At 46.7% G+C, this 22,407-nt stretch overlaps 2 annotated features.

Moving 5' to 3' along the window:
- Positions 2,108-2,308: a silencer, noted in NCBI's record as "peak2477 fragment used in MPRA reporter construct". NCBI's record gives its function as "represses an SCP1 promoter by STARR-seq MPRAs in K562 erythroleukemia cells {active_cell/tissue: K562}" and the evidence as "EXISTENCE:reporter gene assay evidence [ECO:0000049][PMID:32103011]".
- Positions 21,921-22,200: an enhancer, noted in NCBI's record as "active region_10351". NCBI's record gives its function as "activates an Ori minimal core promoter by ATAC-STARR-seq in GM12878 lymphoblastoid cells {active_cell/tissue: GM12878}" and the evidence as "EXISTENCE:reporter gene assay evidence [ECO:0000049][PMID:35858748]".

Genomic DNA, 22,407 nt, shown 5'->3' with positions numbered 1-22,407 from the left:
GACTATAAATGGACGTGCAAGTAGGAGAGATATCGCTGAATTCTTTCTTCAGCTAGGAATATTAACAATTAATACCCTGGGGAAGGAATGCATTCCTGGGGGAAGGTCTATAAATGGCCACCCGGGAGTGTCTGTCTTATGCAGTTGAGATAAGGACTGAAATACGTCCTCGTCTCCTGCAGTACCCTCAGGCTCACTAGGGTGGTGAAAAATCCCATCCTGGTGAATTTGAAGTCAGACCGGTTCTCTGCTCTCAAGCCCTGTTTTCTGTTGTTTAAGATGTTTGTCAAGACAATATGTGCACAGCTGAACCTAGACCCTCATCAGTAATTCTAATTTTGCCCTTTGCCTTGTGATCTTTATTGGCCTCAGAAGCATGTGATCTTTGTGACCTACTCTCTGTTCGTACATCCCCTCCCTTTTTAAAGTCCTTAATAAAAACCTGCTGGTTTTGCAGCTCAGGTGGGCATCACAGACTTACCAATATATGATGTCACCCCCAGCGGCCCAGCTGCAAAATTCCTCTCTTTGTACTCTTTATTTCTCAGACTGGCTGACACTTAGGGAAAATAGAAAGAACGTACGTTGAAATATTGGGGGCTGGTTCCCCCGATACTACTCAAAGTACCAAAACTAGCTGAGTATGGTGGCGCTTGCCTATAGTCCCAGCTACTGGGAAGGCTGAGGCAGGAGAATCACTTGAATCCAGGAGGCAGAGATTGCAGTGAGCTGAGATTGCTCCTTTGCACAACAGCCTGGGCAAAAAGAGCAAAACTTCCTCACAAAGAAAAAAAAAAAAAAGCAACCACAGGCCATATATAAAGGAATGTGCATGAAAAAAGCAACCATGGGCTGTATATAAAGGAGTGCGCATGGTTGTAGTCCAGTGAAATTTTATTTATAAAAGCAGGTGGTCAGCCAGATTTGGCCTATGGGCTTATTCCTAGGCTACGCAGACTCCTCGCGGTTCCCCTGCACACAACCTTGCACCCCCACACCTCCATGCTAGTCTATAGCTAGCATGACTTGAGTCTATAGCTAGACTCAAGCTAGTCTATCCTCCCAGAACTGCCAGCATGAATATCCTGCCTCATTTATGAAGACTGGCTTGACTTCCCCAGGCTCTGCAAGCTCCCACAGCCTGCAGCTCTATCAGATCATGTCTACACCATCTCATGGGGAGTGGTTCTGATACCAGTGAGCTGTGGAAGGTCCCAAACATGCCAGTATCCAGATTCTTAACACCATTGTGAGAAGGAATTCAAGGATGACTCAGAAAATAGTGAAAGTACAGAGATTTATTGCAAAGCAAAAAGTACACACTCCAGAAAGAGGAGAGCAGGTGCACTCAAGAGAGATGTGCCAAGAGGTTTGGGGTTTCCACCTTTAGGGGTTTCTTTGACCAAGGGGTGGGATATTCATGGAAATTCCTGGAAAAAGGTGGAGATTTCTTGAAAATGTGGTGCCACCCATTTTTATACCACATACAGGTGTTCTTGGGACTGTCATGGTGCTGGTGGGTGTGTGGTTTAAGATGTTAATGCGTGTATCATGAGGTCCTGGGTAAAATCTTGGTTGAATCCAGCACCATGTTGGATCCATTTGGTCTCAGCCAGCTTGGCCCACAACCTGGTTTTCAGGGTCTTAGCCCACAGCCTCTAGTCATGTGAAACTGCTGCCTGGAATTTTCTATTCTCCTGCAACCTCCCTATAGTATTCCTGTCTCAATTTACCATCTTCTCTTCCAAACTGGACAGGGAACCCCTAGATCCTCTGTGTTCCCAGGGCCTAACACCACACCTAGCACATCCCAGGTGATTAATCAATGTTTATGGAAAAAAATCAACAGTAATCTTGCACAGGCAACACAAGGAAGGAATCTCACATGGGATATTGATCAAAGACACCAGGCACAGAAGAGTTCCAACTGGATGATTTCAGTTATGTGGTGCTCAAGATTAGGCAAGATCCATCAGTGAAGACAGAAACCAGAACAGATGGTGACTCCAGGTGGGGAAGGAGCTGTCATCGGGGAAGGGGCCCCAGGGAGCTGTCCGGGTGCTGAAAGGTTCCACATATGGATCTCGGCACTTGTTACATGGGCCTTTTCACACAGGTAACAAAGTACTACAAGCGAGGTGGCTTAAGCCAACAGACATTTATGGTCTCACAGTTCTAGAAGCTAAAAGTCTAAAGTCAAGGAATTGGCAAATGCATGCTCACTCAGATGGCTCTAGGGGAGAAGTTCTTCCTGGCCTTTTCCAGCTTCTGGTGATGTCCAGCAACCCTTAGGTTTTCTGGACTTGCAAATGCATGACCTCTATCTCTGCCTTCATCTTCACAGGGCATTCTCCCTGTGCGTATGACTCTGTCCTACTCTCCTCTTCCTATAAGGACACCAGTTGTATTAAGCCTAGGACCCACCCTAATCCAGTATGATCTCATTTTTTTCTTTTCTTTTTTTTTTTTTTTTTTTTAAAGAGACATGGTCTTGCTCTGTCATCCAGGCTGGAGTGCAGTGGCAAGATCATAGCTCCCTGCAGCCTCAAACTCCTGGGCTCAAGTGATCCTCCTGCCTCAGCCTCTCATGTAGCTGGGACTACAGGTGTGCTTCACCACACCTGGCTAATTTTTTGTAGAGATGGGGTCTCACTTTGTTGCACAGGCTGGTCTCAGGAGATCATCCTAACTTAGCCTCCCAAAGTGCTGGGATTACAAGCATGAGCCACCAAGCTTGGATGACCTCATCTTAACTAATTGTGTCTGCAATGATCCTGTTTTAGAATAAGTCACATTCTGAAGCACTGGGTTAGGACTTCAACATGTTTTGGGGGAACAAATTCCACTCACAACCACAGGTGTATACATAGGTTAAAGAAAACGCCACAAATTGCACCTTTAAGATGAATACATTTTACTGAATAAAGGTTATACCTGAATTAGAAAATAAAACAAAATGGGAGGAAAAAAATAAATAAGCAACAACCAACAAGTTCCTCCTCTTTTCAGCTTCTGAAAGACAGAGCCAGAAATAATTCCCCCCACTTATTGAAGCAGGATAATGCATTTAAAAAAAATTATTTTTCTCTCCATTGCAGCATCAGACACACACTCCTTCCCTCACAAAATCAGCCAGGGCTCCTGGGATCTGCTCTTTCCAGGGGTTGGGGAGAGGCTGGTAGTGAAGCAGCCATGATTTTCGGAGAAAAGCCGCCTCTGAATTAGCAGGACTGGCCAGCTGCTCATTCCCCACCCCCACGTGCCGCTCTTGGCAGACAAGAAGGAATTTTTAAAGACTGATTACACATTCTTTTTTATTGGTGCCATGTTTGTAGTATTTGCTGGCCCCAGCTGGTGCCCCAGTAGGTGATATAAAAAGACATATGAATAATGTATACAACAGCCCAACAGTCATCAGAGAACCTAACTGCCAAAACAGGGACAGCACGGTGGGCTGAGATAGTGGATTACAGGGGGAAGGGATAGAAATGCATATTCCTGCCCAGTTTTGCCTGAAAACTGTGAGCTACCGTCAGCTTGAAGATGAGCAAGTGGGATCTTCACACCACCCTAGAGAAAGCTCCCAACAAGCATGTATGGGGTTTTCAAACATAGCCATCCCACATCCAGAAAGTCCAACCTACCAGAGTATAGGCGTGGATGTACAAATAGTTATGGACCAGGTTGTTCATTTCAGCATTGCTGTAATTGTGCAGTGGGGACAGCAGAGGGATAAAGGATTTAATAGTGTTTCTCTAGAAAGTCTCTCATGGGGAACAAGCCCTCCAAACACTGCCTTGAAATGAGACTGTCCCTGGCATTAGCTGATGCACCTAGGTCTTGAATGATAAACAAGATAATGAGACTTGGCAGTGCAAGGGTTTGAATGTAATGAAATGGAAGAGCATATGGATCATTTGGGATGGACAGGGAAGAGTTGCAGGGCTATTTGTCCATAGGTTATTGAAGCCCCTTCCTCCTGAGCTCTTTCATTCTCTCTCACCTGCCTGTACAGAGGCTGAACAAAAGAGATGCTTGTTTTCCCAGCCTCCCTTGCAGCTAGAGGTGGCCATGTAACCCAGTCTTGACCAATGAGACACAAAGGAAGGACTCCTGGGAAATTCTGGGAAAGATGTCTCCTTCCTCATAGGAATCTCTCTCTCTCTGTCTCTCTCTCTCTCTCTCTCTCACACACACACACACACACACACACACACACACACACACCACCACCAACAACAACAACAACAACAACAAAGACAACAAACACCTTGGCCACCCCCAGCTGCCTTTGGCTGGAGGTGGGTAATGATTCGCTGTTTAGATCTCAGCAGCCATTTTGCAACCATGAAGGAAAAACCAAGAGAATTGTAGAGTCCACAACCCAGAGCCCTGATCCCATGCAGTTAATGAACCAACCCCAGAAACACCACCCACCCTCCAGGCTTCCTGTGGATCATCCCACTCTTCACCCGCTGAGAGTTGGGTTCCCAGTCACTTACAGGTGAATGTACTATAACTTCTCCATGGCCTACAATGTGACTACGTGGCTGCCATAGCTAAACACATTCAGCATCAGAAAAAGGAGAGAAGGCCTAGCCTTTTGCCTGGGGCAACTGGAAGTACCAGGACACTCCCAGTATAGGATAAATAGTGTCCTCCAAAAATCTATGTCCACTTGGTACCTCAGAATGTGGCCTTATTAGAAAACACGGTGTTTGTAGTCCAGGCATGATGGCTCAGACCTGTAATCCCAGCACTTTGGGAGGCCGAGGTGGGCAGATCATGAGGTCAGGAGATCGAGATCATCCTGGCTAACAGGGTGAAACCCTGTCTCTATTAAAAATACAAAAAATTAGCTGGGCGTGGTGGCGGGCGCCTGTAATCCCAGCTACTCAGGAGGCTGAGGCAGGAGAATGGCATGAACCTGGGAGGCAGAGGTTGCAGTGAGCCAAGACCATGCCACTGCACTCCAGCCTGGGTGACAGAGTGAGACTCCGTCTCAAAAAAAAGGAAGAAAACAGGGTCTTTGTAAATGTAATTAGTTAAGGATGGAGATGGGATCATGCTGGATTAGGTGGGTCCTAAGTCCAATGACGAGTATCCTTGTAAGAGACAGAAAGATGACCACAGAGACACAGAGTACAAAGCCATGCCAAGATGGAGGCAGAGGTTGGCATGATGCTGCCCCAAGTCAAGGAATGCCAGTAGCTGGAAGGGGCAAGGAAGCCTCCTCCCCTAGAGCCATCAGTGGGTATATGACCCCACCAACATCTTGACTTCAGACTCCTGGTCTCCAAAACGATGAGAATATATTTCTATTGTTTTAAGCCATCAAGGTGTGGTCATTGTCACAACACCCCTAGGAAAGGAAGTCTTCATTCCAGCCTGTTCTGTGGCCCTTATGCTTGCTGAAACCCTCCTGTAAAACAACTGTACCTCCCTGACCAGACAGTCTGACTTGCCCTCCTTCTGGGGCCTTTCAGGCTGTGGAGATGACCACCCCACCCCAACCCATGGACAGCAAATCCCATCCCCTCCTGCCTGGTGCAGAGACCCATCTCTTTCTTCCCACTGGGTCTGGAAGTGGCAGACAGCAGCAATGAAGCAGGCTTTCATTTCACTCAAGTCTAGATAGTTGGTGTCCTCAGCACAAAGGTCTCCTTGAGGAATAAAAAAAAATCTTAAATTCAGTTCTGGATTTACAGCTAAGAAGTTCCATCTTTACCCATATTAAACACAGCTGGAAAATGGACCATCAGTAGGGAACAGGATAAACAAATTGTGGTCTATTTATCGTGGAACATTATACAATGATTAAAAAGGGATAAGGCACACTAAGATTTGTAAATGCAGTAAGCGATGTTTGGGATTGTCTTCAAAATAATGTAGGAAGGGGTAAACAGATGTGGGTAGGGGAATACAGATCTAGATGAATTAAGTTTGGCCAAGAGTCAACCATTGTTGAAGTTGGGGGGATTCATTATACCATTCTCTCTACTTTTGAATATATTTTTAAGTTTCCACCATAAGGAGTTTTTTTAAATGAGGCAGTTCATATATACTGTCACAGAAAGAGGCCCATAAAAGATGCTGAAGAGAAACAGCAAGTTGAGGAATAATATATTCAGTGTAATCCCATTTGTGTGTGCTGTATTTTTTTTTTTAAGACAGAGTCTTGCTCTTGTCACCTGGGCTGGAGTGCAATGGTGCGATCTCAGCTCACTGCAACCTCCTCCTCCTGGGTTCAGGCGATTCTCCTGCCTCAGCTTCCTGAGTAGCAGGGAATACAGGCACCTGCCACCATGCCCAGCTAATTTTTATATTTTTAGTAGAGACGGGGTTTCTCCATGTTGGCCAGGCTGGTCTCGAACTCCTGACCTCAACTGATCTGCCCATCTCAGCCTCCCAAAGTGCTGGGATTACAGGCATGAACCACCACGCCTGGCCTGACACATGTGTTTTAATTAATATATGAATGTAAGTACAGAGAATAATCTAGAAGACTGTACAACAAACCAAAAGCATGGTTATAAGATTTGGCCTGCTGTTCTTCTCTCCTATCACCATTTCTTATCCACAATACACTTCCCACACTTCCAATCACACATTCCCAGGCCTGTGCATATTAATCACTCAAAAAGTGTTCGCCAGGCACACGTTGGACTTCACTTCTTCCTGCCTACAGAACCCAAGAACTCTCTGCATTTACCAAATGAACAAGTGAGACACTGGACCTAACGAGGCTATGAAGTTATCACCATTCCAGAGTGGTTTATTACTTCTTCTTTTAAAATAGAAATTCTGCTCCTGGCAGAATGGCCTGTAGGCACTAGTGCAACTTTATAATATTAAGGCAATGCAAACAAGATCACAGACTTGAAATTAATCAATGTAAAAACCCTGGAAGGCTTTCCCATCAGGAAAAGTCCAAGAAAAAGGCATTTTGCTGGGACCCAGAGGTCAGCTTACATGGGGCTTTGCTTAGGTCTGGGCCAGCTGGGGATGGGCGGTGGGGCAAGGAGGCTCCATCCAAAAGCATCTCTCTTGGCTGGGGTTCACTTTGCCAAGTTTAGCTGAGATTGTTGTCAAAAGTCTTGTTCACAAGCCAGCCAGGCCTGGAGGTGTGCGCCCTGGCTTAGCATAGAAAGCAGAGGCTAAGAGCTTGGGCATTGGCACCAGCAGACCTAGGTTCTAGTCTTTTTTTTTTTTTTTGGAGACAGAGTCTTGCTCTGTCACCCAGGCTGGAGTGCAGTGTTGTGATCTCAGCTTACTGCAAGTTCCACCTCCCAGGTTCAAGCAATTCTCTGCCTCAGCCTCCTGACTAGCTAGGATTACAGGTACCCACGACCATCACTGGCTAATTTTTGTGTTTTTAGTAGAGATGGGGTTTCACCATCTTGGCCACGCTGGTCTTGAGCTCCTGACCTCATGATCCACCCGCCTCGGCCTCCCAAAGTGCTGGGATTACAGGTGTGAGCCACCACACCCAGCCCCTAGGTTCTAGTCTTTTCTTGGCTCTTAAGCTTGGCCAAGTGTCTTCTGTTCTCCAAGGCTCCCTTTGTAAATCTATACAATGGGGCTGTTGATACTTCCTACATGGCCAGGCTGATGTGAAGACTGAATGAGATGAGCTACAAGGAAGTTAAACATATTATGTCCCAGGAGACCCCTTGAGATCAGGATTTGGGTACAAGTGGACTTGGGAGGGGATCCTAAGAGGCTCCAATGGGGAGAGGAACAGTGAAATAGCAACAGAAGGAAACCAGTACCAAAGGCGGGATGGGGAGGTCTGTGCTCTGGGCGACTGGGGCTCAACCCCACAGGGAAACATTGAGAGATCACATAGAGCATATCTCAGTCCAGGGGCCCCAGATGAAAATGGGGGCTGTTGGCAGAACATGAGTACATGAGTGCACCGTTTTCACGCTGCTGATAAAAACATACCCAAGATTGGGCAATTTACAAAAGATGCGTATAATGGACTTTACAGTTCCACATGGCTGGGGAAGCCTCACAATCATGGCAAAGACAAGGAGGAGCAAGTCATGTCTTACGTGGATGGCAGCAGGCAAAGAGAGAGCTTGTGCAGGGAAACTCCCCTTTATAAAACCATCAGATCTCGTGAGACTTATTCACTATCACGAGAAGAGCACGGGAAAGATCTGGCCCCATGATTCAATTACTTCTCACCAGGTCCCTCCCACAACATGTGGGAATTCAAGATGACATTTGAAGGGGGACACAGCCAAACCATATCAATGAGGAAACATAGGTGATCAGCAAACATCACTGCACTAGGCCATGATCATCATTTAAAATGCCAGCCCGGGCCAGGTGTGTTGGCTCATACCTGTAATCCCAGCTACTTGGAAGGTGGGAGGATTGCTTGAGACCAGGGGTTCAAGAGCAGCCTAGGCAACACAGCAATACCTTTATCTCTGCAAAATGTATAAAAATTAGCCAGGTGTGGTGGGGCATACCTGTAGTCCCAGCTTCTCAGGAGGCTGAGGCAGGAGAGTTGCCTGATCCTAGGAGTTTGAGACTGCAGTGAGCTATGATTGCACCACTGCACTCCAGGCTGGGCAACAGAGCAAGACCCTGTCTCTAAAAGATAAATAAACTAAAATAAAATAAAATATCAACCAGTGGTGCCTGAGAAGCAGGAGTACTTTGTGATATAAATTCAACTAGATTCTATCAACAAGGCAACAACCCAAAGACAGGTGGGATGACCCAGCTAATGGGCAGAAAGGACCCTGTGAGCCACGTCCACAGCAATGACTCCCCACGTTCCTGTGTGTTAAGGTCACCAGGGAGAGTTAATAAAAACACAGGATCCTGGGCCCCAGCTCCAGGGAGTCTAATAAAGCAAGTGCATGGCGGGACCCAGAGAGCTGCATTTTAACATGTTCTCCAAGTGATTTGATGTAGGTGGCCAAAAGATGACATGTTGGAAAACATGGGTCTAACAAAACCCAAGACAATGGTTTTGCAGGTCTTTTGGCAATACTAGGTGGGTAAGAGACACCCTCAGGGAGAGGTTTTGGAACAAGTCAGCATTTAAAATGGGTGTACGTGAACACTCACACACTACACACACATACACACGTAACAATACCAACAAGGAGGGCTTGGAACGCCAGTATGTTTAAACATGAAATAAATGACTGTGCCCCTAAAATACTCCAGAAATCATCCAAGAATAATTCATAAGCTCTACCACCACCACAACCAGCTCCCTACCCGCCCCCCAGCCAAAAAAAGAAAAAAAAACTCTTGAGAATGAGCCAAGGTTAATGAGGCTGGTGGTTATCTGCTGAGTAAGTGCTGGCCATGCAAGTTAAACTGCCTGAAGGTAGATTAAATTTATGGGTTCAATTTTTCCAGGAGTGCAAAGAAAAATGTGCACGAGATGGGAGACCAGATGCCGCGGGCCTGGGTGAGGAGAGATGGCAGGGCTCTACCAGGTGGAGCTTATAATTTGGTGGGGAGAGAGCACCTGGTTCTTCAGAAGCCTTTGTTTCCTTTCAGTCCTTTTCCCACTCCATGCACTGAGCTGAGCCAAAGACTTCAAGAGGAACTTTTCCCAAATCCTTCTGTGCCCTGGAGTGGGGCTCTGTGTTCCCAGCTTCTAAAGGTGAAGGTCAGTGGGGCTCCCAGCTCTCCTTTTTAGCTTCCCCCATCCATCCCCATATACTGGGCAGACAGGCTAGATGCAATCAATGTCAGGACTGGGGAAATTTTCTTCTGATGTGCTTGGAGGTATCACAGATCCTTGGACACCTTGCTGCTTCAAGTGAGGTCCTCAGGCCAGCAGCATCGGCAACTCAGGAGCTTGTTGGAAATGAGGAGGCTGGCTGGGTGTGCTGGCTCACACCTGTAATCCCAGCACTTCGGGAGGTCGATCAGGGCAGATCACGTGAGGTCAGGAGTTCAAGACCAGCCTGGCCACATGGCGAAACCCTGTCTCTACTAAAAATACAAAAATTAGTTGGGCATGGTGGCTCACACCTATAATCCCAGCTAATTACAGGGGAGGCTGAGGCAGGAGAATTGCTTGAACCGGGAGGCAGAGGTTGCAGTCAGCTGAGATCACACCACTGCACTCCAGCCTGGGCGACAGAGTGAGACTCTGTTAAAAAAAAAAAAAAAAAAAAAAAAAAAAGAATGATATAATGGACTTTGGGGACTAGGTGGTGAGTAGAGGTTGGGATGGGGGTGAGGGATAAAAGACTACATACTGGGTACTGCATACACTGCTTGGGTGAAAGGTGCAATAAAATCTCAGAAATCCCCACTAAAGAACTTACCCACGTAGCCAAAAACCCCCTGTACCCCAAACTATTGCAATTTAAATTTTAAAAAATCTCCCTCTTCTTTGCCTTATAAAGGCACCAGTCATCACATTTAGGGCCATCTCAATCCATGAACTTGTTTCATATGAGTATGACCTCATCTTAACTTGAGCCCATCTGCAAAGACCCTATTCCTGAATAAGGTCACATGCATGAGTACAGGGATTAGGACCTGAACATGTGTCTCAGGCGGACATGATTTAATCCACAATATCCCCACCACTCTTACCTCCAGCCTCATTTCTTCCTCTTCTCTCTGCCCCTCGCCCACTGCCCATGCCACAGCCCTAGAAGCTCTACTCTTCCCCCCACTGCCCTCGCAGGGATACAGTTTAGCTCGTATGGGACAGTCTTCTTCCTAGCCCCGTCTGGTTGCTGCTCATCCTTCAGTCTCAGCCCAGCCATCACTTCCCCAGGGAAGCCTCCCCTCCCCCTCCCCCTCCCCCCACTAGGAGGTCCTTGTCTTTTGCCACATCTAGCTCCATACCTTGAAACTGCTTTATTTATTTATTTTTTAAGAGACTGGACCCAAACTCCTGAGCTCAAGTGATCATCCCACCTTAGCCTCCTGAGTAGCTGGGACCTCAGGCAGGCACCTCCATGCCCAGCTGAAATTACCTTTTAAAGCCTCTCTCCCAGCACTGCCGTACATAAACTCTGAGAGGAAAACAACTGTGTCTAATTATGCCCCAGTTTAACTCTGGTGCCTAGCTCTGTGTGGGTACGCAGTGGGCACTCAAACATTTGGTGAATGAATGAACAAATGAGTGAATGCAAGAACAAATGAGCAGAAGAATGAATGCGTGGAAGCGGGAGAGGAAAGAAAGGAGAAAACAGCGTATTTCACACCCGAGATTTATTAGGACGCACACTCCGGCAAGAGATACTCAAAACACAACACAGTCATGGCTTTGATTGTGAAGAACTGTTCAGCTCATTTTATTTCTGCTCATAATCAATACTGCCCAATCTCAATGCCTGCTCCTGTCTCATTAACATTTATCAAGAACACTCAGTGGCACACAGTCTTTTACAACTGTTTACTGACTCTCCATTTCAGTTCTTCTCCCCAGCAGCCCACCAAGCCTTGGGTGAGAACAAAGGGTTCCTTCTCGCCTGTATCCCATTATCTGTGGGTTGACTGACATCATTCCAAACCCAGGCTGGCCAGAGCACCCCCTCCCCTGTTGGAATAAGATTGATTCTAAGAATCCTCAGTAATCAAAACGAATACTCCAGCTTATGCTCTCACGTTAGCCTTTTTGTTGCCGGAGGAGGGCTCTTCTCTGTCCTGCCTGACAGTGATGTACAGACAGGCAGTTGCTTTCCCTTCTGCAGGGCAGATGTTGACAGGTATGGGGAGCAAAGTGTACCTGCAGAATGGAGCTTCATTGCTGAGGGTGTGACCTCCCCAGGTACTTCCTCCACCGCAGTCCCATTAAGAGAGCTGTGGGCATCTGTCACAACCCCTCTGAAAGGAACCTCACAGTGACCCTCTCAGCTCACTCCCTAGGAGGGACCCTGTTATGCTCAAGGCTTTGCTGAAAGGGACCAAGAGACCTCAGGATTAGTGGCTTTGTGTCTCTGGCCGACCTTAACTTCTATCTTGCTTGTTATCAAGTGTACCCAACAGCCCTGTAAATAAGAAGAGGCTATTTTCCCGCACAAGTGCTCGGTAATTTGACTCTTGGCACATCACGGCAACCTCCCTGGGCCTCCTTCTGCAGAGCCGAGACAGCACTCGTTTTGTTTCAAAGAGCCTCTAACAGCTGGCAGATTCTGACAAAAAACATCACCCCTTAAAATTCACTTTCTCCCTAGGGTTGATTTTACTGGAGGTTTGTTTTCCTTTGCCTGCCTGCCTGCATCTGCAGAGCCACTAGAAGAATCATCCTGGGTATTGTTCAGCTACTGTAACTCCCACCACCGACTGCTCACCTATATCTCTGACGGTGGCACCAGGTGATTCCGACTTACAGCTGGTGGGTCTCAAGCTGGCATAGCAGGGGGCCTGCAGGCACTGTATCAGGAGACAAAGAATCCAAACGTCCTGGTCTTACCCTGGTCTTGGCTGATTGCGAAGGCACAGCCCCAACAGAACCACAAAATGGACAAGGTTTGTTTTTTGTTTGTTTGTTTGTTTGTTTTTGAGACAGTCTCGCTCTGTCACCCGGGCTGGAGTGCAGTGGCACGATCTCGGCTAACTACAACCTGTGCCTCCCAGGTTCAAGCAATTCTCCTGCCTCAGCCTCCCAAAGAGCTGGGACTACAGGCGTGAGCCACCACGCCCAGCTAATTTTTGTATTTTTCGTAGAGATGGGGTTTCACCATGTTGGTTGGCCAGGATAGTCTAGATCTCTTGATTTTGTGATCCGCCCACCTCGGCCTCCCAAAGTGCTGGGATTACAGGCGTGAGCCACTGCACCCGGCCCAGAGAACGCTTTTCATACTTGCTTAGCAACCCCCTGCATCCTACCCCAGCACCAGGTGCTCACCACCTGTGGGCTGCGCTCATCCGTGATCATCGGTCCCCAGGCCTGCTGTTCCTCGAGAAAGGAAGTTGTAATGGGCAGAGTTCTAGGACAGCCCCCAAGAGACCCCCTCCCTTGTATCTGCTCCCTGTATCATCTCCTCTTCTTGAGTGTGTCCAGAGCTTGTGATATGGCCAAGGGGAAGGAATTTTGCAAATGTGATTAAGGTCACACTTGCTTTGTTAAGTACATTTGCTCAGCTGACTTTGAGTTCATCCAAAGCAGGATGATCTTAGGTGGGCCAGACCTAATCAGGTGAGCCTTTTAAAGGTGAAGTTTCAGAGATCCAACTCTTAGCCTCCAAGGAGACACAAATGGCCATGCTGTGAGCTGTCTTTGGAGGTGGCAGCTCTAGGAGCTGAGGGCCTTCGTTCAACAATTGCAAGAAATTGAATTCACTCCACAAGCTGAATAAGCTTGGAAGAGAACCCTGAGCATCCAATGAGACCCCAGCTCCAGCTGACACTCTGGTTGCAGTATTGTGACCCTGAATAGAAGACCCAGTTAAACCCCACCCAGACCCTTGGCTCATGAAAACAGATAATAACTGGGTGGTGTTTTAAGCTGCTCAGTTTGCACTGGTAAATCCACCAACAGGAAAGTAATATAGAAGTTAAACGGGCCAGGCGTGGTGGCTCATGCCTGTAATCCGAACACTTTGGGAGGCTAAGGCAGGTGGATCACAAGGTCAAGAGATCGAGACCATCCTACCCAACATAGTGAAACCCTGTCTCTATTAAAAGTACAAAAATTAGCCAGGCGTGGAGGCACACACCTGTAGTCCCAGCTACTCAGGAGGCTGAGGCAGGAGAATCACTTGAACCAAGGAGGTGGAGGTTGCAGTGAGCCAGGACCATGCCACTGCACTCCAACCTGGGCAACAGAGAGAGACTCCATCTCAAAAAAAAAGAAGTAGTTAAACAAACACTTTTGACCACTGATGGAAGTTGCTTTCATTCCCTCTTACTTAATCATCTTTATCTTACCCCTGAAAGAGGGTTGCTTTAACCCCATTTGTAACAAGTGAGCCCAAGGCCCAGGAAAGTGATAGAATTTAGCAAAGTCCATCTTGCTACCTGGTGGCCCCAGCTAGAATTCAGCCCCAGGTCCATATACCTAAACTCATTACAACATCCACTAAAATTGTGCCCCTCTCTCCAAGCCTTCCTCTTTACAAGCCTGTTCCTTCAGGGATAGTTCCCAACCCAGTGTTACAAGGTATTGAACTCTGATTTTGACAAAATATAGTAACTACCCCCAAAAATTAATAACGGTATTTTTGAGCCAGGCACAGTGGCTCATGCCTGTAATCCCAACACTTTGGGAGGCTGAGGTGGGTGGATCATGAGGTCAAGAGATTGAGAGCATCCTGGACAACATGGTGAAACCCCATCTATACTAAAAATACAAAAATTAGCTGGGAGTGGTGGTGGGCGTCTGTAATCCCAGCTACTTGGGAGGCTGAGGCAGGAGAATCACTTGAACCCAAGAGGCGGAGGTTGCAGTGAGCCAAGATCATACCACTGCAGTCCAGCCTGGCAACAGAGCAAGACTCCGTCTCAAAAAAACAAACAAACAAACAAACAAACAAAAAACTATTTTTGAGTCCTTATGTGTCAACCGCTGGGCTATCCCAACACCAATAGATGTTATGATTACGATTATTTTTTCCATTTTATTGATGAGGAAACCGACACATAGAAAGGTAAAGGAACTTGCCAAAGGTGACGGTCACACAGCGAAAGAGCTGTAGAAGCAGCACAGGAATCCCAGCAAACTCACAGCCAAGCTCTGCTTTTCACCTTCACACCATACTGTCCTCAGACTAAAACCCTAACTCTGACCTTCCGAATCAAAAATCATACTCAAGGCTGGGTGCGGCGGCTCACGACTGTCATCTCAGCACTTTGGGAGGCAGAGGCAGGTGGATCACCTGAGGTCAGGAGTTCCAGACAAGCAGGCCAACATGGTGAAACCCCATCTCTTCTAAAAATACAAAACATAGCCAGGCACGGTGGCAGGTGTCTGTAATCCCAGCACTATGGGAGGCTGAGGCATGAAAATCACTTGAACCCAGGAGGCGGAAGCTGCAGGGATCCATGATCATGCCACTGCACTCCAGCCTGGGCAAGAGAGTGAGACTCTGTCTCAAAAAAAAAAAACTGTGCTTAATAATAGCTTGGAAGTGCACATACCTTCTGTGAAGGTTGATAGACTACAATTAGCTTCAAAACACAAATAAGTAGCTGTGTTTAAATGAGGCCTTCTGTGTAATAGCTAGGGAAAATCAATGTAGCTATTCACATTTTGGTTCCCCTTCCAGAAACAGAGAAGTTGCCCGTGACTCTGTGATCCTTTTTGTCCAATGAACCATGAGCAGGAGCAACTTGAGTCACCTTCAGGTGGAAGTGTTAAGAGGCTCTGTGATCCACCACATTCCCTTTCCCCTGAAGTGGTGATCAATGACACATGCAGAGATGGGGCTTTTGTCAGCCTGGATCCCTGAGTGAACACAATGAACAGACCACCCCACAATGCCCTAACACAGCCCAGATATGCAACGTGACCAAGAATAAGCCTCACTGTGGCCAGGCACGGTGGCTCACACCTGTCATCCCAGCACTTTGGGAGGCCAAGGCAGGTGGATCATTTGAGGTCAGGAGTTCAAGACTAGCCTGGCTAACATGGTGAAATCCTTTCTCTACCAAAAGTATAAAAATTAGCCAGAAAATAGTGGCACGGGCCTGTAATCCCAGCTACTCAGGAGGCACGAGAATCACTGAGTCTGGGAGGCAGAGGTTGCAGTGAGCTGAGATTGCGCCACTGCACTGTAGTCTGGGTGACAGAGTGAGACCCTGTCTCAAAAACAAACAAACAAATACCTCACTGCATGAACCCACTGAGATTTGGGGATTGTTGTTACTGCAGCAGAACCCAAATCATCCCGACCGCTAGACTGTCCTAACTAGGGTTTCTTACCAAAAGCAAAGGCATTTTTAAAGTTCATGACATTTAAACCAAAGAGTAAATACCAATATCTGTCACTTTGTCAGGCTAACAAAGTGACAAAGTAACAAAGGCCAAACAAAGCAAATGCCAGAAGTTAAAAGAAACAGATCATTAGGTTAAAAACAGAACTGTGAAAACAGGCACAATTGACTTCATATAGTGATTGCAAAGAACATCAGGCAAGACACAGGTGTGGTCATATCATTTATCACATGCTTAATTGCACATGTTTGCCTAAGAAAAACACAAAGTATTTAAGCTCATCTGTAGTTCAAAGTGCCTATCCGTGTATTTATCCATTCATCCTTATTTATTTATTGAGCAACTCTTTTGTGCCAGGCACTGTGCTGGGTGCTGGTAATGCAATGATGAAGATGGCAGGCACGACTCTGCCCTCCAGGAGTTTCTAGGATATGGAGGGAGACAAACAAAAAATAAGTAAATCCATGAAAGAAGTATTGGTGGAACCTGCCCCCAGTATTTCAACGTATGTTCTTTCTATTTTCCATAAGTGTCAGCCACCTGAGAAATAGACAGTACAAAGAGAGGCATTATACAGCTGGGCCGCTGGGGGTGACATTACATATCGGTAGGACAGTGATGCCCCCTGAGTCTCAGACCAGCAAGTTTTTATTAAGGGTTTCAAAAGGGGAGGGGGTGTAAGAACAGGGAGTAGGTACAAAGATCACATGCTTCCAAGGGCAAAAAGCAGGACTACTAATAAGGGTCCAACAAAGATCACATGCTTCTGAGGGAACAGGACAAAGGGCAAAGGCAGAACTACTGGTAAGGGTCCAGCAAAGATCACAAGGCAAAGGGCAAAAGCAGAAGATAAGGGTCTATGATCAGCGGTGCACGTATTGTCTTGATAAACATCTTAAACAACATAAAACAGGGTTCGAGAGCAGAGAACCAGTCTGACCACAGATTTACCAGGGCGGAGTTTTTCCCCACCCTAGTAAGCCTTTGGGTACTGCAGGAGACCAGGGCGTATCTCAGTCCTTATCTCAACAGCATAAGACAGACATTCCCAGAGCAGCCATTTATAGACCTCTCCCCAGGAATGCATTCCTTTCCCAGGGTATTAACATTAATATTCCTTGCTAGGAAAAGAACTTAGCGATATCTCTCCTACTTGCACGTCTGTTTATAGACTCTCTGCAAGAAGAAACATATGGCTCTTTTTGCCCGACCCTGCAGTCAGTCAGACCTTATGGTTGTCTTCCCTTGTTCCCTAAAAATCGCTGTTATTCTCTTCTTTTTCAAGGTGCACTGATTTCATATTGTTGAAACACGTTTTACAATCAATTTTTAGAGTTAACACAATTATCACAGCCGTCCTGAGGTGATGTACATCCTCAGCTAATAAATATAACAGGATTAAGAGATTAAAGTAAAGACAGGCATAAGAAATTATAAAAGTATTATTTGGGAACTGATAAATGTTCATGAAATCTTCACAATTTATGTTGCTCTGCCGCGGCTCCAGCCAGTCCCTCCATTTGGGGTCCCTGACTTCCTGCAACAAGAAATAATAGAGGTTAAGGTGGAGAAGAGCAAGGAAGTCCACTTTACAAAGCAGTCAGGAAAGAGCTCTCTGTGGAAGCACCATTTTAGCTGAGACCTAAAGGATGGTCTAATTTGGGGAGGTGCAGAGGAAAATCATTCCAGGCTGAAGCAGCAAGTGCAAAGGCCCTGTTGTGGAGAAAGATTTGAAAGTCCAAGAAAACAAAAGAAGGCCAGAGTGGCTGAAATAGAGTAGGCCAAGGGGAGGAGATAGGAGAGGGCTGGAGATGTGGCAGGAACAGGCAGAAGACTCGGGGTCTTGATTTTATTCTATGTGCCATGGGCAGGAAAGGCAGGGATGAGAATCAATGGAAACCTTAAGATCAGTGAAGCTGCCAGGTGGGAAATGGATTGCTGAGCATGGAGGGCAGGTGCAGAGGACCAGTTAAGACCAGTTAGGAGGCTGCTGCTGTAGCCCAGCTGGGATAAGGGTGTCCTAGGCAAAGATAACGACAGTGAAGATAGAGAGAGTGGACAAGTTGGATAAAGTTTAGAATCACAGGACTTGCTGACTGGAGAAGAGGGCAAAAGCAGAGTTAGCACAACACATGAGTTATGACCACCTTGAGCAGCTGAGCAGGGGGTGGTGCCATTTACAGAACAGAGATGGCACAGACAGAGCCCATGGAGAAGGAGGAGGAAAAGGAGAGTTTGGCTTTGGGTTTTTTTAAGACAGGGTCTGGCTCTGTCACCCAGGCTGGAGTGCAGTGGTGTGATCAGAGCTCTTTGCAGCCTCAAACTCCTGGGCTCAAGTGATCCTCCTACCTTAGCCTCCCAAGTAGCAGGACTCCAGATCCTACAGATGCACATCACCATGCCTAGCTAATTTTTTTTTTTTTTTTTTTTTTTTTTTTTGTAGACAGGGAGTCTCACTGTGTTTCCCAGGCTGGCTTCAAACTCCTGGCCTCAAGTAATCCTCCCACCTCGGCCTCTCATACCACTGGGATTACAGCCATCACCTACTCCTCCAAGCCACGAGTTTGGCTTTGGATGTCACAAGGTTGAGGTGTTCATGAGATGACAAGTGGAAAAAACAAGAAAGAAGTTGAGTGTTTAAGACTGCTGCTTGAAGGAGAAGTCTAGCCTCAAGGGAAAAGTTCAGGACTCATCAGCTGAGAAATGGAACTGAAAATTATGCAAATGGATGAGCTCAGCTAGCAAACAAGTCCAGAGAGAGCAGAAAGTCCAGAGAGAGCAGCACTGGGCTATGCACCTGGCCTAATGCTACCCCGCTCCTCGCAATCCCTGTGTTATGCTGGAGAGGGTTCAGCCTCTGGTGAGTTTCACCAAACCCCCACATCTCTTTCTTCTGAGACCTTCTCTAAAATCCTCTCTTTTATACTTAGTGAAAAGGGATTCTCTTTTTCCCATCCAGCTTAAGCAAAAACTTTTGACTATGAGAGGAATGAGGATGCATTTAGTATCTGTTCTGCACGGCTAATTCCATCAAAGATTTCTCATTATTCCTGCCTGGCAGTCTCATTTTCTTCTTTCGCCTCTCAGAGCACAGTCGTAGGCTTAATTACTGACCTTTTCACCCTTCTAACACCAGCGATTTCCCCCATCTCAGTTCTCAGGAAGTTCTGTTCCCAGAATTATCTCCTGAATCCTCACCTGGGGATAGAAATTGTTCTCTGTGGCCGTGTCTTCTCCTCTAATTCTTATCAAAAAACTCAGTGATCTCTGTGCATCAAATATTAAACTCAAGCTTAACAGATCATGCTTCTGGCTTCTCTCTCTCTCTGGCCTGTGGGTTAACAGGTTTGCAACCTTTGCAGAGAAGACTCCAAATTCTCAGGAGGCCAGTTTCCAAGGGTGCTGGTCACTCTTGCTCTCTTTCTCCTGCTCAAAATTCAGCACTAGAGAGTGTTACACCATTGCATCTGCAGAGGAGTTCATCTGACTCTAGGGACTACAGAGGAGGGAGACGGACAAACTAACAGGCATTCAGAAAATGGCTACCACGATGGGGAAGAAAATGAAAGTCAAAACAAATAAGCAATCGTCAAAAAAAAAAAAATCTGGAGGCCAGCTGCAGTGGCTCACACCTGTAATCCCAGCACTTTGGGAGGCAGAGGCAGGTGGATGGCTTGAGATCAGGAGTTCGAGACCAGCCTGGGCAACATAGTGAAATCACATCTCTACTAAAAATACAAAAATTAGCCAGGTGTGGTGGCAGGCGCCTGTAATCCCAGCATTTTGAGAGGCTGAGGTGGGCGGATCACCTGATGTCAGGAGTTGGAGACCAGCCTGGCCAACATGGTGAAACCCTATTTCTATTAAAAAACACAAAAATTAGCCAGGTGTGGTGGCAGATGCCTGTAATCCCAGCTACTTGGGAGGCTGAGACAGGAGAATTGCTTGAACCCAGGGGGCAGAGGTTGCGGCGAGCAAAGATTGCACCACTGCACTCCAGTGTGGGCGACAGTGAGACTTTGTTTCAAAAAAAAAAAAAAAAAGAAAAAAAACACATAGAGATGTCCATCCAGGCTGAAGAGAATATTCCAGAGCAAGGGTTGGGACACTACGGCCCATGGGCCAAATCTGACCTGCTTGCACATGTTTTTGTCAATAAAGTTTTATTGCAACACAGCCATGCCCATTTGCTACATATTGTCTGTGGCTGCTGGATTAGGCTGTTCTCTCATGCTATAAATACCTGAGACTGGGTAATGTATAAAGAAAAGTGGTTTAATTGGCTCACAGTTTTGTAGGTTGTACAGGGAGCATGACACTGACATCGCTGAGCTTCTGTGGAGGCCTCAGGAAACTTACAATCATGGCAGAAGGTGAAGCGGGAGCAAGAGAATGAGGAGGGAGGTGCTACACACTCACAAGCAACCAGATATTGCAAGAACTCACTCACTATTGCAAGGACAGGACCAAAAGCATGATGCTAAGTCATTCATGAGAAATCCACCCCCATGATCAAGTCTCTTCCCACCAGGCCCCACCTCTAACACTGGGGGTTACATTGCAACATCAAATTTGGGCAGGGACACATATTCAAACTATATCAGCTGCTTTCATGCTATGGGTGGCAGAGTTGAGAAACTACTACAAGAGACTGTATGGCCCACGAAGTCTAAAACATTTACTATCTGATGCTTTCAAGAAAAAGTTTACAAACCCTGCTCTTGAAAAGGAAGGGAAGGAAGAGGAGAGGAGTAAGGCAGGAAGGAGCAGAGAGGGACATGGGGCCGTATTCAAACATCTGTTGTTAAGACAGAGAAATTCAATTTATTTGTCATGGCAAAAGTTATCAAACTAGGAGCACTCCATTAAAGTTTCAGGACAAACACTGTGCTGAATATAAGGATGACCCCATCCAACAGGCACATAATCCACTCTAAAAGACTGTCCCGGGGTAGTGAAGATGATGTTGCTGGAAATATCCTTAAATGACATGTGGATGAGCTCCCCCAGAGGCATACATGTTGAGCTAAATACTTTGCTGATGAAGGGTACAAGTTGAAGCGGTTTTGAAAGGCAGAGTGAGGTTCCTCAGAAGGCTGTTGCTACAGAAAGCCAGGAGGAGAAATTACATGGCCAGATAGAGTGGCATGACCATTAGATAAGGGTTTTTTGTTTTTTTGTTTGTTTTTGAGATGGAGTTTTGCTCTTGTTGCCCAGGCTGGAGTGCAATGGCACGATCTCAGCTCACCGCAACCTACACCTCCCAGGTTCAAGCGATTCTCCTGCCTCAGCCCCCCTAGTAGCTGGGATTACAGGCATGTGCCACCACACCTGGCTAATTTTGTATTTTTAGTAGAGACGGGGTTTCTCCATGTTGGTCTGGAACTCCCGACCTCAGGTGATCCGCCCACCTTAGCCTCCCAAAGTGCTGGGATTACAGGCGTGAGCCATCGTGCCCAGCCTGGATGAGGGTCTTTAGCAAAGATGGAAGTTTTGGTACCTTGCAATATAATCTCTTCATTTATGTCCTCCTGAAATCTTTACTAATAGCACATTTTGTCAATGTTTCTGGGGTCGTACTGAGAGGGACTTAAAGGAGATGTGATGTGGCAGCCTTTGACTCAAGGGAGTATCATACTAGCTGACAGAGATCTGGGTACATGCCAGTTGAACCCACCCTTCTGAGGATGTGATAGATCCTGGGAGGCCACTCTGATCCTGCCAACCTTGAGGCCAGATGAGTCTTTGAAAAACACGGTTTGGCTTAACACCAGCACTTAGTCTAATACCCACCATGAATCTTGCTGAACTGAAGCTACACAAATACCTTTTCAAAAGATGTTTTTCATTCCATATCCTTCTTACAAATTCCTAAGGCTCAATGCTGTGTGGAAGATTCTAAGAAAGAAAATAGTTTCCAATCTTTGGGATTCCCCTGAGATGGTCCAATCAGCAAAAAGTTCATTGCCATTTCCATCAAGGACACTGAGAACAAGAGTCTTATCCGGATTGGATCCTGGGAATTGAGAAGCTTCAGCAGGTGGGAAATGCACCCTCCACAGGCTCACACCCTTGTGGGCTATTTCAGTTACCTATTGCACCTAAAATTAGAAACTTTAAACCACCAAAAGTCATTATTGCTCATGACCCTGTGAGTTGCATGGGGAATTCCTGGCTGGTTTAACCTGGGCTCATTTGTGTGGCTACCTGCAGCTGGAGGGCCAGCTGGGCGGAACACCCAGGACAGCCTGACACATGTGCCTGGCAGTTGGTGCTGGCTGTCAGCCGGGGAGCCTTGTTTTCCTCCATGTGGCCCCTCGCCCTCCAGAGCCCCTTTCCAAATGGCACTTTAAGCAGGATAGTCAAGGCTTGCTTGGTGCCAGCATCCAAGAGGGCAAAAATATGGAAACTACGAGAGGGCTCTCAAGGCCTAAGACTATATGAACCTCAAAAATCTGAGGTCTCAGTTAATTCAGAAAGTTTATTTTGCCAAGGTTGAGGATGCACGCCTGTGACACAGCCTCAGG

This window comes from Homo sapiens, chromosome 16, assembly GCF_000001405.40.
Source record: "Homo sapiens chromosome 16, GRCh38.p14 Primary Assembly".
Taxonomy (NCBI): Eukaryota; Metazoa; Chordata; class Mammalia; order Primates; family Hominidae; genus Homo; species Homo sapiens.
The sequence above is the reverse complement of the archived record's forward strand: the minus strand, read 5'-3'. Positions and strand labels throughout refer to the sequence as shown.